The sequence below is a fragment of the Homo sapiens genome, chromosome 17, assembly GCF_000001405.40.
Source record: "Homo sapiens chromosome 17, GRCh38.p14 Primary Assembly".
In the NCBI taxonomy this organism is placed as follows: domain Eukaryota; kingdom Metazoa; phylum Chordata; class Mammalia; order Primates; family Hominidae; genus Homo; species Homo sapiens.
Window position 1 is genome coordinate 33,977,247 of NC_000017.11, and position 16,408 is coordinate 33,993,654.

A 16,408-nucleotide genomic window follows, 5' to 3' on the forward strand; every position below is an offset into this window, starting at 1 on the left:
ATATTGATGATGGATACAGGGGGCTGACCACAGGGGTAGTTGGAGGGAAAGTGCTGAATAATGAAACCTCCCCATATCTGCACAGCATTTGCCACTTTCAGGGCACCTCTGCCTGCATCGTGGCAGTGGTTCAGTGATCTGTGCTGGGAGGTTGTGGCATTCCCATTTTGCAAAAGTGAACATCAAAGCTCAGAGGAAAAAATGATTTCAAGTTAACCAGAATTAGGAAACAGAAATCTGGGTACACAAAGTGCACGTCTAGATTTCACATTTATCCAACAAATATTTATTGAGCACCTACTGTTAGCCAGGCCTTGTGCTTGTTTGAAGGATACAGTTTTTCTATCCTCGATAACCATGGCATTTTTCTGTAGGATTTTCCTTTCAGGCCCTCTCCTAAGAGAGATCTTTCCCAATCCCCTACATCCTATACCGTTTACTTTCCCCTTCCCTCTGGCCCCAAAGAGAAGGTTTTGATGTCTGTCGATTCTACCTGAGTATACGTAGGTTTCCTTTTCTGTCCCTCCCAACAGAAGCCTCATGACACTGATTGTTCCCAGGGACAGAGAAGGCCTGCCCTGTTACAGGACTCCTGCACCCTGTGAGCAGACTGGAGAGGAATTTGGGGCCAGCGGTCTTGTTGGCCCTGAAAGCACGGTGTCTGCAGCTGCCTGCCTGGCACATGGGTTCAAGCAGCCTTGCCAGCTCATGGCATCATGGTGCAGTATGGAGGTCCCGGGCCATGGTTTCAGTGCTGTCTATGACTCATGGGCTGTGGAGTCCTGGTGCCAGCCCTTGAAGGTGGGGCAGGAAAGTGAGGCACATGAGTGAATTCATAGCTGAGACCACGCCAGACCTGGATCTTTCCCAGGTTTGAAGGTTGAATGTGCCTGTGCTGGCCAGGGCTTGGTGAGCTTCTCCACTGGATGGTAAACCCCACTCAGTGTCTTCCCTATTATCACACTCAGGCCCTAGCTGCTAGAAGCCTCATTTGCCTAAGTTTTTGTCCCAATGTTTCCGTGAAGGCAGAGAGAGGAGCTATTTGCATGCCAGCCCAGGGCTACGTAGAAAATATGGCAGGGATCCTCTCACACTGCAGTCGAGTCAAGGCAGTCCAGGGTGGCTGCTGGGGCCAGACTGCCCCGTCAAGATCCAGCCTGCCTTTCACTGACTGTGTGATTAGAATGTCTTGCCCTATCCCTGGACTTTAGTTTCTGCAACTTCAAAATGAGGACAAGATAACCTCCAAGGTCCAGGTTACTTTCCTATACAGAGTCTGGAACTGTGCCTGCCCGCATAGTGCACACTCACAGCCAGCTAAAGGATGGTGTGCCTGGGGTGGGTCTGCAGGGCAAGCCCTATTTCATAGTTTAACATTTCTGACACCACCTGTGTCAAATTCCTATGCTTACGGTGTGCTGGGAGAGTCGAGTCAAGGCCAGACTGAGGGTGACTCTGGCCCTCTGTGCTAGGCCTACTGTCTGCAGATGCCTCCAACCCTGCCTTGGACAGAGGGAGGAGTAAGGAGTGTTAGGAAGGGCCTGGGGTGTCAAAGAGCTTCTAACCCCACCAGTGAGTCCTGGTGCCTATGGAGGGAGAGCGAGGAGGGCTTCTAAACATGGGTCATAGATAAAACCAAAACAGAATAAACACACTTGGGGGGCTTACAGGAGAAACATTATCACAAAAGGGCTGAGTGTAAGTACAGAAGGGGACAGGACAGGCTTATTGTGTCTCCTCGGTGACAGATCCAACCAGAGTCAGTTTACAGACTACATGTAAGGTGTCGGGCAGTCAACCCCCAGCTGGTTCCAGGGCCTTGGTCCCTCCCAGCAGCTGTCTTCCCCAAGTCTATGACTCATGACCAGGAGAGAGGAGGGTGGGCAGTGAGTTGCATGAAGGCAAGACACCCTCTAAAGCCTGGACCCAGGCCATGACACCAATCCATCAGAGCCGTGACCTTGGCCTGGCGTTGTCTTGGGGGCACAAGAGTGACCATTCACACTACCTGCCTCTATCCGTCCTTCCTTCCTGCATGAGACCTGGTATAGCTGCTGCTCCATGCCTACCACTGGGTCATAGAGATTCAGAGTCTCCCTGGGGCAGTTGCCAGGGAGTGAGGCCGTCAGAAACCCTGACTTCTCCCCTCCACCCAGCCGAGCTCCACCAAGCCCAGGAGTGGCTCTCCCGGAGCCTGGTGTCCCCTGTATGCACAGAGTACTTTAAGAAATCCAGAAAAGTCATCACCCCCAGGAATCCACACTGAATGTGAGCCAGCATCAGCCCTCTCTGCACTCGACCTCCTCAGGTACCAAGATGGGTTATATTTGGGGTAAGAGGGGACAGAAAGGCCTCATGTGTCAGGAAAAAGTTACAAAATCCCACCCCTCATACAAGAACTCTCACTTTTTCCCCTTCTTAGCATTCTGCAGAGCTAGAGTGAACCATGTTGGCCATTGTGAAAGTACAAATTCAGGAATGCTGAGGTCATTACTCAAGGTGACATCACTTATAAGTGGCCAGCCCTTGACCTACAAGGTCTAAATCACATTTCTATCTTCACACTTAGAGGTCTCAATTTCTGCTTACACACCTTCAATAATGAAGAACTCGGGAACTCAGTCTCTCTTGAATGGAACTCCACATAGAAGAGTCTCAAGTGGTCCAAAGTAACTAGACTTCTCTCTGTGCCCCTTAGGCCTCCTCTCTTCTTTCTCTACTGGACACAGCAACAGCAAGTATCCGAGTCACTTAGTATTCCTGGTATTCTGAGCTGGGCTCCAGCTGGGGTGAGCCTTGTAGATTCTCAGACAGCAGCATCAAGGAATGTGGGCTTCAAGCCAAGTCAGATAATAGGAAAATAATAATAATAATAAAGATAGAGACACAAACACAAGGACACTGGGACAAGCATAAGCGGTTAGATCCACAAACAGAGACAAATAGGTGCTGGGAGCATGGTGGAAGGACACACCTCCACTGACAGCCACATATTTTCAGGACTCAAGAGCCCAAGGACAGACAGAGCTCAAGCAAGTCTCTGAGTGAGGGAGGTGAGAAGCCGGATGAGGGCTGGCCTTTGTGTCTCCATCTCTACCACTTGACCAGGATCAAAGAACTTCCCCAGATGAGCTTAGACACTTAGACATCTAGAAATGACTCAGTGGGCGAGAAGAAAGGGAGACTAGGAAGTGAAAGAATGAAGTGAAAGAAGTGAAAGAATGGGCCACAACACATATGGAGATGGGATGGCAGGGGAAAGGATGAGAATCTTGGGAATGGGAAGAAGTTTTCTGGGAACTTGGGTAGGTTGAGGCAACAGGTTGTGGTGGATGCTGTGATGTGCTTCCCAGGTCCCTCTTCAAGAAGGAAGGATTTATCCTGCTACCTGCTGGGGATGCTGCCTGCAGAAAGTTCTCAGCTGCCAGCTCCCCATGGGGTTTGCCCTAACCCTGACTGCAGAGAGCTGCCTTGCTCCAGATCATGCCTTCTTTACAGGGTGGTTCACATCCAATGATTGATCCATGGAAAGACATTGAGGCCTGAGCCCCTTTCCCCAGTCTGGAACAACTCTGAAGGCTCATTCCATTTCACATTTCCCATGGCATCAGGTAAGATGCTCATTGAGACTGCATCACAGCTCAGCTTCTCCCTCTGTCTAATCCTGCTTTCTCCCCATCCCTTCCTCAAGTGTAATTTTTTTTTTTTTAGACAGAATCTTGCTCTGTCACCAGGCTGGAGTGCAATGGCACAATCTCAGCTCACTGCAACCTCTGCCTCCTGGGTTCAAGCAACTCCACTGCCTCAGCCTCCCAAGTAGCTGAGACCACAGGCGTGCACAATCTCGCCTGGCTAATTTTTTTTCTTTCATTTTTTTTGTATTTTAGTAGAGACGGGGTTTCACCATGTTGGCCAGGATGATCTCCATCTCCTGACCTAGTGATCCACCTGCCTCGGCCTCCCAAAGTGCTGGGATTACGGGCGTGAGCCACCGCACCCAGCCCTCAAGTGTAATTTTATGAGTTCTTCCTAATAAACCATTGCAAGTAAATATCTATCTCAGAGTCTCCTTCCTGGGGACCCAGTCTGTGACACAGGCTTAAACTCTGAGCAGGAAGTTTTCATTTTGCCTGGCCCACAGTTTACAAAAACATTGATGACTGCGATCTCACTTGATCTTCACAATGATTTGGTGAAGTGGGTGGTACTGTTCTTACTTAACACACGAGGAAACTGAGGCTTGAAGTTCAATGGCTGTTCGAAGACCAAAACAGCAAGGAATTGGTGGAACCAGGACTTAAACCCTGGTCTTTTGGGCTCTCAAATGTATGTTCTTTCCTCTCTTGCACAGTTTCTAAAGAAAAGAAAGAAGGAAGGGAGAGAGAAAGGAAGGGAGGGTGGAAAGGGGGAAAGAGGAGAAGAAAGAAGGAAGGAAGGAAGGAAAGAAGGGAGGGGGGGAAGATTAGCTAACATCTAGCACTTATTCTGAGCTAAGCACCATGCTTAACATTCTACATGCATTATCTTATTTAATCCTCACAATTTTATGACATATGTATTATTTGTATCCCTATGTTATAGATGAGGAATTTGAGGCCCAGAGAATTGCAACATTATCTAAGGTCACATAGCCTTGTATGAGGAAGTGGCTTGATACAAACTCACTTCCGTCTGATTCCAGGCCAGGCATCTTAACCACTACTATCAGGGAGAATTGGCACCAACCGGAAGGTTGAGGAGCCTCAAGAAGCAGTTGTGGGCTAGAGTATTGGGGAATCCAGAGCAGCTAACTAAGATGCTAAGCACCTGAGTAAATGGGAAGCTTAGACAGATCTGCATCCTTGTTCTCCTGGGAGCAGACTGGGCCTGCTTTGGGGCTGAGCCAGTTCATGCCTGGAGCCATTGCTTGGAAATTGCACCCAGCCAATCCCCAGCCGTAATTACCACTAGGCTTGCAGCACTGGGCTGAGAGCTGGAAATAGCTCTGTATTTATTTACCCTGCAATTACATGCTACATTAAATGCTCTGCAAGAACATGGCGATCACCCTGCAATTAACTGGTCCCTGCTTCCTGGGCAAGAGAAGGCTGGAGACAGTTACTGGCTGGAATCAAGTGCTCCCTGGTTTCTTAATGGGCCTGGGGTCACCTTGTAACTTATGCTGGTGGGCCTGGCCAGAGGCTGCAGCTCCAAGTGGGAGCTTCTTTAGCTCCTGAAGGAGACAGATTAACATCTGAGTCAGATCTGAGTCCAGCGTTGCTATGGGTTCTGTGACAAGATCGTCCATTAGTGGGTCCTTGTCCATATTGTCTTCTCTAGCTCCTCCCAAGGCATCTAGTGTCTCTCTGTATTTTATTTTTGGAGTTCCTGAATTCTACCAGCCTTTGCATAGGTCGTTTCCTATCATGTTGACCTGGTAAATTCCTATCTACCTTTGAAGATTCAGCTCAACTATCATCTCCTCTGGGAAGCATGCTTTGAAAGGAGATTGTATAGGAAAGTGAAAATCAGACATACTCGTGACAAAATACCAGCTTCATTACTTGATAGCTATGTGACTTTGAGCAACTTACTTGGCCTCTCTGAACCTCAATATATGTGTGTATGTGTACATGGGTGTATAGAACTCCCTGATATCATATGCTTATACACATTATGTGTATACATATACAAGAACTCAAAGTCTTCTAGTTAGGGACAGATTTTAGCAAGGTGGAAACAGCATGGTGCCTCACACACAGTAGGTGTGCACCAAATCTTTGTTGAATCAATGAGTCAGTGAGTAAATCAACCATCAATCAAAAGAAACCAATTAGGAGCTGTGAGTGTGTGTGTACCCATGTTTATCTTTGTGGCTGTCCACTTAACTTGCTGCATATAAACAAGTATACCAGTTACTCAAAAACATAATATGTGCACATGATGGTAATTGGTCTCTAGTTGCCTGGAGATTTCAGAGAACTTGTTCCCAGGCTGTGTGGATAGACTAAGAATGCCAGGAAAAAGCACTAAGAAAAGAGTTAATTATATATTTACTACCTCTGTCATTTTCTCCTAATTATGTCTTGGCAAGCAGTGTCTCCTGGATGAGTCTTAATCTCAGTGTCTTTAAAAATATAATAATAAATCAATGTGAGATGAAATGCTCCCAACAGCCAAAATGCACCAGACAGTTTCCAATCAGTGAGAGCACCAGTGAACAGTTCTGGACCCAGTTTCGATGACGTTTGGGCCTCAGGTACCAGATATGGAGCCAGAAAAACAGTCAGAGAGCAGAGCAGTGTCTAGAACGTGTCACTGAGGCCTCTTCTCAGTCTTCTGAGGGTCACCTGGAATCCCTATGGCCTCTGCCTGCTGCCAATGTACCATGAGGCAACAGAGGAGGAAGTTAGGCGTGCAAATTCGTGAGCCACCCTGGTGCATTTTGCTTGGTTTCTGGACTGAGAAGACAGGGCCCATTTACTCAGCCCTCTGTATGTCAGCGGCTCTCAACTGGGGGCAGTTCTATCCTCCTAGCAGTCATTTGTACAAGTCTGGAGTTATTTTCAGTGGTTACCACCTGGGGATTTTGCTACTGGCATCCAATGGGTAGAGGCCAGGGGTGCTGCTGAACATTCTACAATGCACAGGATACTCCCACCCACAGCAAAGAATTATCTGGCTTAAAATGCCAGTAATGCCCAGGTTGAGAAGCCCTCTGTTTGTGCTGGCAAGCTTGGGCCCTGGCAGCATGTGTCCATGCTGTCTGTTCTTGTTGTCACTAGTTCTGGTTTTCAGACCTTTTCATGCTCTTTTCTATTTTGGTTTCTAACAAGGGACACAGGCACACACATGCTCAGAACAAATGCACAGCCTTCCTTCCCCATAACCCCTTTCTGGCTGCAATCATATTCACTGAGGATTAGTCAGCCCTCTCCAATGGAGGGGAGTGGACACTCACCTTGACATCCTGTGGGCGCCTGCAGATGCTGGCTCTTTCTCTCCTCCCAGGGATAAGACCGCACTTCTCTCACTGGTCCCAGTGGGCATAGCAAAAGCAACAAAGCTGTGGGGCTTGTTGGTGCTTCATCGAACAGGCCTAGGCAGGAGGCCCAGTGCAGCCCTGTCTATGAGGTGACCTGGGAATCTGTGTTTCTTATCAAGTGTCAACACATATGCCCAGCAATTTCACTCTGTTCCATACCAAGCAATCAAACACGCCTACATCGTGCAAGCAATTTTTAGGTCTCCTAGTTTCTATTATTAGAGCCTCTTGCCTAGGATTAAAGGCCCATGGCACGTAAAAGGGCCAAGAGGAAATTTCCCAGGATTTTCTCATGTAGTCCTCACAACCACCCGACGATGCAGACACTTGTGCATCCCCTTCACAATTGGGGGAAAGAGGTTCTAAGGACAGAACAGTGCCTTTGCACTGCATGAGTCAGATCTTGTCACTTGTCTGTCTAAGCTGGTGCTGGAAATAATGAAGATGAGATGGAAACACCAGTCCATTTGATCCTAAGCAAGGCATGGGCTCTTGACACTATAGCTGTTGCTGAAAGGAGATGGAGGAAGGAGAGGCAAAGAGAATAGAAAGGGATGTTTCTGAGCACAAGAGTGGAGGAAACAGAAGGCATGGATCACCTCTTTAACCCTGACATTCTCCTAGCTCATAAGCACATCCCTGTCCTTTAACATCTGGGTGTCTTTCTAGAGGACACCAGAAACTTCAGACACTGAAAGGAAAGACATTCTAAAAGGTGGAAAGAAAGTGGCATTTGGGGACTGCTATAGGCAGTCTGAATATAGATGTGAGTGATAAACATATGGGGCTCATTACTCCAAGAGGCCCAGGCTTCTTCTAAACAGGTGTCAAGAGAATTTTAATTGAAGCCTCAAGCCATGATGAATTATTAAAGGCATGGAGGGATGTGAGTAGGACATTTCAGCTCAGTCAGTCAGCTCCAGGAACACCTTGGATAGACCATAGGCAGATGAGCACTTGGGAAATGATCTATATAAAGTACAATAAACTTCTCTGAAAATTATGCCCACCCCAACCTCCCCCCACTCACACATACGACTTCTTTAGAATCCAGCATTTCTCAACATGTATCCCATAGAGCAGTACCTCGTAACTTTAGCGTGCATAGAAACTTTAATGTGTCCTCGGAGTGTCCAGGGTGGGCCTGACATTCTGCATCTCTAACAAGCTCTCAAGAAATGCTGATGCAACCGGTCTACAGGCCATACTTGAATAGAGAGGTTTTAGAATACTGGCTAAGCAAGATGTTAATGGTCTTCAAGGGAAAAGAAAAGATTCCAGAGGCAAAATGTTTGGGACAGACAACATTAAGTTTAACGAGTATCTGAACCACCAGGGAAAGAGGGCAGAGTGTAATATGCTTAAGGCTGTTAAGAGGCTTTACAGAAAACAAAAGGAGTTCCATGGTCAAACACTTTTGGGAGGACCTGGGTTAAGTTAAAGGAGTATGCAGAACTTCTCAGTGCCTTTACACTGAGCCAGATCTTGCCACTCCTCTGTCTAAAGCTGGTAATGTAGAAGTCTTTACATTGGCTGAAAAAGCCCCCAGGACTTCACTCCTTCCTTCTCCCTATGTCCAGGTCCACAGGCCTTCCCTGAGAAGACACAATAGGCATCCCTCAGCCTCAGGGCCTTTGGCCTGGGTCTTTCCTCTGCCTGAAACATTCTCTGACAGCTAATTGTCTAACTCCATTGCCTTCTTCTTTTCTCAAAGGCCACCTTTTAGATGAGACTGCTCTAACCACCCTATGGAATTTCATAACCCACACCTCTTGCCCCTGGCATTTGCAATCCCCCTTATTTGAACTTTCTTTTTTCTTTTCTTCCAGTGCATTTTCACCTTCAAAGACACCATACAATTTCATAATTTATTGTGTTTATTGCTTATTGTTTGTCTTTTCCATTAAACTGTAAGCTCCATGAGAACAGGAATCTGGTTTTTTTTCCTTGCAGTATTATGAGTACCTGGAACAGTACCTGTGCTATACTAGATACTCTAAATATTTGCTGAATCAGCAATTGGGCAGATGTCCAAAGTGAAGTTCTTAGTAGGAGTGGAATATAGTAAGCATCATTCTCCAAAGGCTTTTCACTGCAGAACCTATTTCTTTCTTATTTCTTTTCCAACGGAGCATCTCAGCATGACCACTATTCCTAAATACACATTTTCTAGGAAATGGCTGCTGTAGTAACTCACTGAGAATCCAGCCTTCATTCATTTTCCTAAATCCTTCTGGGCCTATTCATATTCATCCCCTGACAATCCCAAAGTGATGAATTCCATAAGTTTATTACCCACAGTATAAATTTATCTTTAATTCTGCAAGAACAATGTCATGGGAGGGACACTTACTTCCTGCTCTCCTGCAAAGGGCCCCTCGATGCCACCACAGAGAAGAGGCATAGGGTTTCACACCATGCCTTATAAGCATGGTGCTCCATAAATTCATATTTAACCCTCAGAGTAATCCTTTGAGGTGAGTCTTAATCCCCCATTATACAAATGAGAATCTGGGTCTCAGGGAGATTAAGTAGCTTACAGAGCTGGGATTTGGATAAAGGTCTGCCATGCCTTGAAGCTCATATACTCTCCACAACACCAATGTGGCAAAGCTCACAAAATGGCATTTTTCAAATGCCAAGGTACGGAATCAGAGACTTGGGAGCTGTGTGTCTGTCCAGAGTGTCTCCCTCATTAGCAGTGGCCATAGAATAGCAATAATAGCTACTGCTTATTGAGTTTTTACTATACACCAATCATTAATCTAAGCATTTTACATGCATTAAGGCTTTTAATTCCTAGAACCCTATGGACCTCACTTTACAGATGAGGAAGCTAAGGCAATTAAAAAGTTACATAGCATATTAACTTACCCAGGTCACATGGCTGTAGAGCAGTACTTAGGCCAGAATCAGGGGAAAAAAGTCAGGCAAGGTGCAGTTTTGAACCAACTCGGCTGCTCCCATGACCACCTCACTATGCTCTGGTGCTCAGTGCCAAATCCAGCTCCTTCTTCCCTCTTAGGTGCACCCAGTGCTCCACAGCAGTCTTGCCCCAGCCTTTGCATCTGTCTCCCAGCACTCTGATATATGAGAACCCTTTTATGGATGGGAGTGCAATTTACAGACTTCTGTTTGCAATCCCTAGCAACACTTTCCCACACAGCTTCCCCAGATGATCCATGCTGGGCAGCTAGGGACTGGCACCAAGAAGGCACTTGGAGACCGTCATATTCAGTCACCTCATTTGAAATCTGGGGAACCTGAGATGCAGAGGAGATGATGACTTGCTGAACACACACAATCAGAAATAAACCTGGACTAGGACACAGGCCTAGAAATCCCATTCCAGTATCATTTAACCCATTAGCCAACCAACCAACTAACCAACCAACCAACCAACCAACGAACCAGAAAGCATTTACTGAGGCACTGTTAGGTGAAAGTGCCAAGGAATGACCAGGGTTTCTGCTCTAATGCCCACTGACTTATCATTTGTGTTCACCCATGCTTTCACTCATTCATTTCCTTATTCAATAAATCATTAGGCTCAAGAAATAACATGATAAAAAAGACAATCTCTTCTAATGCAGATGAGACATATTTTAATAAAAATAACAGAGGTATATTCAGAATAATAAACAGTAATAAGAGCTTAAAGAAATAAAAAATGTTTAAGGTCTTTTGACAGCATGTAATTTGTGAGGGAGACAGGAAGGAATGTGACCTAGCCTGGAAATCAAAGAAAACTTCCTGGAAGAAGTGGCATCTGGAGTGAGATTTAAAGGAGAGTAAGAGTGCATTAGGCTAGAAGGGATTGGGAGGAAGAGCATACATAAGAGACCTGAGACAGAATGAATGTAACACATTTAGAAATATAATAGTGTAATTGTGAATCGTATAATATAGTATGGTGTGGTATACATGCAAACACATATAAAATACAAGGCACTTTCCAGGGAAAGCAACTAACATTTACTGAATGATTGCTACATGCCAGTCCCTTTATTACCTCCTTGCTCAGTGGAAGGTAATTGAATCACGGGAGCAAGTCTTTCCCATGCTGTTCTCATGATAGTGAATAAGTCTTACAAGATCTGATGGTTTTAAAAGAGGAGTTCCCCTGCACAAGCTCTCTCTTTTTGCCTGCTGCCATCCATGTAAGATGTGACTTGCTCCTCCTTGCCTTCCGCCATGATTGTGAGGTCTCCTCGGCCATGTGGAACTGTAAGTCCCATTAAACCTCTTTCTTTTGTAAATTGCCCAGTCTTTATCAGCAGTGTGCAAATTGACTAATACATCGACCCTTAGCAGATGCTGCTGATTTTCCCCTAAGTTGCTCCCATTCCTCTTTACCATTTCTGCTTGCCTTTCCTCCAGGGGCTGTATTTTTGTTGTTGTTGTTTTGGTTAGTTTTTGCCTCTAATCTAATGACCTCTTCCTAGTGTTCTCCTCACAGGCCTGCCCTGAAGCTCCTAGATCCACTTTGCCATTGCTCCCAGAGAGCTATCAAGACCTGGGAGCTAAGTTATCCCCCTATCCCTGGTGACTCTTAGACAGTGACTGGTTGGGAGCAGGAAAGCCCAGCAACCTTGCCCAGAGCAGGGGCAAAAGCAGACATGTAATTTATACTCTAGAGCTCTGAGTCAGGCTGAGCCAAAACTTTGCCCCAAATTGTTCCCTTGCCTGGCTTCTTCCACTTCTATGCCCCTCCTCCCACCTTCCACAACTTCCTTATTTATTTTTCCTGCAATTTCTCCTTAATAAATCACTCAGACAAGAATTCTCACTATTCAGAAACTGACTCTGGGGAACCCAACCTAAAACAGAACCCACATCTGTCTGAACTTGAAGCCCTTTTTCTTGTTAGTGAGACATGATGTTAAACAGAGTCACACCAGTGAAGGGTAAAGGAGTAGGAATGATGGTAAGGTCAAGAGCTGGGGAAGGTTTTTTGAGTTTAGAGATGAAGAAGAAAGCCCTTGGGGACAAGAAATCTCAATTAAGCATCCAAAGACTGGCAGGTTTTAAGCTCAGTGGAGAAAGCAGGCCTCCAGGATTGGGAGGTGTGATATCAAACAGAAGGACACGGCAAAGGTGACCGAGGTGCTTACACAACAGAGGGACTTGGCCCATCTGGAAATGGACTAATTTCCAGGAAATTGGAAAAGAGTGCACGAAAGGAGATCGGGGCCAGACTGCCAAGGGTTTCTTTGGTATCAGGCTAAGGAGGCAAACAGGAGTGGAGAGAATATACTCTTTTGTGGTAGGCACGCCTTGGTCCCAGTGCCACACCCACCACTTCCCGGCTAAGACCTTTAACAGGTAATTCAGTTGACTCAGCAGTGAAATCAAAAGACCTACTTTTGAGGATTAGATAAGAATAGCACAATTAAAATCCCTAGCCCATTACCAGAGACTCAAATGACACTGTTGTTTTTTTTCTCATTCTTGAAGTTTGGGCTTAATTTTGTACAAGGTGTCACTGCAGAGACTTTGATCAAGAAAATGAAACATTCAAATATAGAAAACTCGTATTAACAGGAGAGAAAAGGACAACTTAAAGAGGCACACAGGAGACCTGGAGACCAATGAGTTTTTGCAGGAAACTAAGCATGAAGGAACTGAGCCCAGTCTAGGGTTGCAGCAGTGGGAAGAAGGGGAAAGAGGCACTTCCGGTGATATTGACAAGGACAGCTGGTCAGCCCTTCGTGCATAATTAGCATGCAGGAGTGAAAGAGAGGCAGAAGCCCAAGCTGTCTTTGAGGTTTTGACCTAGTGCCTGAATGCAAAAGAATGAGAGAAGAAGGGCTAGCTTAAGGGTGAAGGTGGGGAATTTGATCTGATGTATGTTGAGCTTGACTTTACATCTGGCCATCCAGAGAAGCAGCAGTATATAAGTCCAAAGAGCCAGACAGGCCTGGTCACAGCTCTGCCTCTTACTAGCTGTGTGACTGGATAAATTTCAGGACCTCTGTGTGCCTCCATTTCCTCACCTGCTAAAAGGGAAAACAGATACAGGGTTGCTTTAAAGATTGAGGCATAGAAAATTGTCTGGCAACAGATAGATGCTCAACAAATGCTAACTTTAAAAAAAAATTTTAATATTCATCAGGCAATTGGGATCGAGTCTTGGAGTTGGCCTCAGAGCTAATATTGTACATTTGGAAAGCAAAGGACTAGAGGAAATGGCTGAAACATAAGCACAGTTGAGATCAATTACCTTTTGGAGGAAAATGTCCTGTCAAAGACCAACAAGCACTGAAGATAAATGTTAAGTTAGTTGGCTTCTTCTGTTTTCCCACAAGGAGCACAACTCAATTTAGTTGTACAAACATTTACGAGCCAGACACAGTGGAAATGGGGACCCTGAGATGAAGAAGATGTAGTTCTTTCCCTGAAAGGCTCACAGTTTCTTGGAGGGATGGACATATAGAAAAACCAAGCAAAGCGCAATGTGAGAAGAATTATGCAAGAGGCATAAAGGGTGCACCAAGGAGGGAGTGATGAATTTTGCCTAGAGGATTTGGAGAGGAAATAACTGAAACACTAACATCTCTCCCACAGCATTAAACACAAATAAAAAAATTTCAAATAAATGAACTATGAATAATCACATACACTTAATTATTAGTTCAAAGATGATCATTCAAAGACAAGAAACTCTAACAAAACTTGTAACTCCAAATGTTTAGGTTATTGCAGTAAAGAGAGTAGGGGATAAAGAATTGCAGATCTGGAAGCATCAAATTCTCTAGCTTCTAACTCAAACAGCTTCTAAACCACATGGGTTGTAGATGAAGTAGTTAACTAGGGCTGACTGCTATAATAAAAACATCAATCTGGATTTTTATGAGTTTATGGGTGTGAAGCTTGGTGTTGACATGTGAGAAGAAAAATATCTTTTCCTTATTAACTGAGTCTTGAGTAGCCACTGAAAAGATGAGGATGATGGAGTCAGAGAAAATATTCATAGATTCAACTAAGTCAAACCCCTCTTTTGCTTTACTGATAAAGAGAAGACATCAGAGAGGGGAAGTGACTCATGCAAAGTCACCCTGCTGGGGAGAGCCAGGATGAAGTGCCAGGGATCCTGACTCCCAGTCAAGTTCTCTTTCTACACTACCACTGTGTCTTTTAAATGAACCCTTAAATCCAGATTCCCCCAATCTATCCTGCCACCGGCTACATGTGCACATACAAATACTCCTAAATTGGCCCCAACTGGCCCAGCACCTCCTCTGCATGGAGTAAGGGTCTGCTGCATCCTTGATCATATCACGTAGGCAGGAGGCTTAGAGCTAACCACATGGTCTGGCCTCCAGGGGACCATCAACCAGCAGGAAGAATTCCCCAAGGCAATGCACTGTTGGCTTTCTCAACGTTCCACAAAATAACTGCACCTGATATTCCCCACCAACTAAGGCAGGAGGCTCTGCTAATTTCATTAATAACTTAATGAGATTATTAACCACTACCCAGTGGGGGCAGATTTGGTTTTTCCTTGGTTATAGGAATGTATCCATTTTTCACACAATTACAGCCTGAGAGGATCATCACTGAGGCTGACAATTGTGGGCTTATTAGGAGCAATTTAGACACAAGATTGGATTTCCTTTCTGCCCATAACCTTTTGTTCAAAGCAAATGAACTGGTGTTCCTCATATTAGTATATTAATAAAGGTTGTCCAGGAGGTGTTTGATCTTTAAGATTGGCCCAGTAGCAGAGTAGTAACACTGCCCTGGGAGGCAGGGTGCCAGGCTTCTCATGCCAGCTTCAAGCAGCCAGCCCAAGCCACTTGGTGTCTCTGAGCCTCAGTTTCTCATTACCTACTGTGATAGAACTGGACCGGTTTGGTGGTTTGAACTAGAGACCCACAAGCTATCCACCATACTTTAAGATAACTGATGGAATCATCTGTATTGCTGATCTAACGCTGCATAGACTAAGTAAAATTCTGATATCTCTCCTTTTGGGCAGAATTATATCTTCTCAGTGCATAATACCAGCTAGCTCAGCCTAGTCAGATGCTGACTGGCTGTCGATGACATCATGGGTATTTGGAAGCCATTAGAGAAAAACAAAAGGGGACACCTGAGAAAATTGATTTCTAAGGTCTGTCTCTCGTGAGCAATTCATTCATCGAAACTCAGCTTCCTTGACCCTGCCAGGCTGAATTTACTTCTTTCCTTCCAACAGCCTTCATTTGGGATTTCAGTTAACTGTGCACACATGTGTCTTTTCCCAAAGAGTCTCTGCTTACCTTAAGGGTGCGGGGTGAATTCACTCTATCCACAAGTGTGTTGGAGCTAACTCACATTGGCTCGCAAAAGCCAATTACCTGCATTTCTTCCAAACCCTGAGTTCAGTGGACTCTATGTTGGCAGCTTGAGATCAGTCATGGTGGGGATATTTATAACAGAGAAATCGGCAAACACTACAAATCAGGATTTGTTTCTTCCCACAGCGCTGGTTGTTAAATATTCACCAACACATCACTGACTATATCCCCACTGCCAAGCATTTAGGATGTAATAAGAACGTAGTTGAGATTTGATGAATAAATGAATGACCAGAGTCAGCAAACCTGGGTACTGACGGGTTTCAAGCAGGCTGAATGCTATGTATACATGAGTTAGAAAGTGTCCCGAGTAGCTTGCATGAGAGGTATACAACTAGAGCAGTGGCTTGAAACCCTGGCTGTATGTTAAAATTACCTGGTGCCCAGTCCACAGCTCAATCCTGAAGTCCTGGAGTGGGTATTGGATATCAGTATTTTCTATGCCCACATGATTTCATGTTTGAGAATCACTGATCTAGAAAAGTTCCTGGACTAATCATGGCCACCATAACACCCAGCCTCAGTGCTCCAGTGCCCATGACTGCCTACCACTTTAATTCAGGGAGCCTGAAAGTCAAGCAGAAATATAATTTCATTGGTAGATTGGTAGCTTCCCTGTAATTAAGCAGTAAGGTTACAAGGAGGTACTCCTCCCCAGTTGGTATGGTTTCAGTTTTTTTGGCACATGTCCAGAATGATGATTTAGTTAGGTAGCCATTTAAGAGACAGCATCTTGACTTGTCCAAAAGAGAACAGCAGCCTCAGCCTACAAGTCACTGGTACATGCCCATGACCCCACTCTCCTCTACTGCCATGCGCCTCCCTGCACAGCCACATGGCTGTTATTTTTCTCTCTTTAAAGGACCAGCACAAATACTGCCTCTTCTTTGAAGTTCTTTGAGGCTTTTGCCAGTGTGTCTGGCTGATGGCTGGAGAGATCAAGGAGAAACAGACTCTGAGTTGAAGCTCCAGCTCTAGAATTCATAGCTGTGAAAATTTGGCAAGCCACTTAGCTTCTCTGAGCCACATGTTCTGCCTATAG

General features: G+C 45.3%; 1 protein-coding gene and 1 long non-coding RNA gene across 2 annotated transcripts in view, besides 2 other annotated features; both read right to left on the bottom strand.

The window, feature by feature from the left end:
• Nucleotides 1-10,119, bottom strand: part of LOC107985038 (uncharacterized) — a 51,924-nt gene extending 41,805 nt beyond the window's left edge. Inside the window, exon 1 of the long non-coding RNA XR_001752840.2 lies at nucleotides 9,899-10,119. This is a non-coding gene — a long non-coding RNA (uncharacterized LOC107985038). The remainder of the gene's footprint in view (nucleotides 1-9,898) is intronic.
• Nucleotides 1-16,408, bottom strand: part of ASIC2 (acid sensing ion channel subunit 2) — a 1,143,682-nt gene that overhangs the window by 964,160 nt on the left and 163,114 nt on the right. The window lies entirely within an intron of this gene.
• Nucleotides 217-717: an enhancer, noted in NCBI's record as "H3K4me1 hESC enhancer chr17:32304482-32304982 (GRCh37/hg19 assembly coordinates)". NCBI's record gives its function as "activates a minimal SCP1, AML or CMV promoter by ChIP-STARR-seq in naive H9 embryonic stem cells {active_cell/tissue: H9 hESC(naive)}" and the evidence as "EXISTENCE:reporter gene assay evidence [ECO:0000049][PMID:30033119]".
• Nucleotides 718-1,218: an enhancer, noted in NCBI's record as "H3K4me1 hESC enhancer chr17:32304983-32305483 (GRCh37/hg19 assembly coordinates)". NCBI's record gives its function as "activates a minimal SCP1, AML or CMV promoter by ChIP-STARR-seq in primed H9 embryonic stem cells {active_cell/tissue: H9 hESC(primed)}" and the evidence as "EXISTENCE:reporter gene assay evidence [ECO:0000049][PMID:30033119]".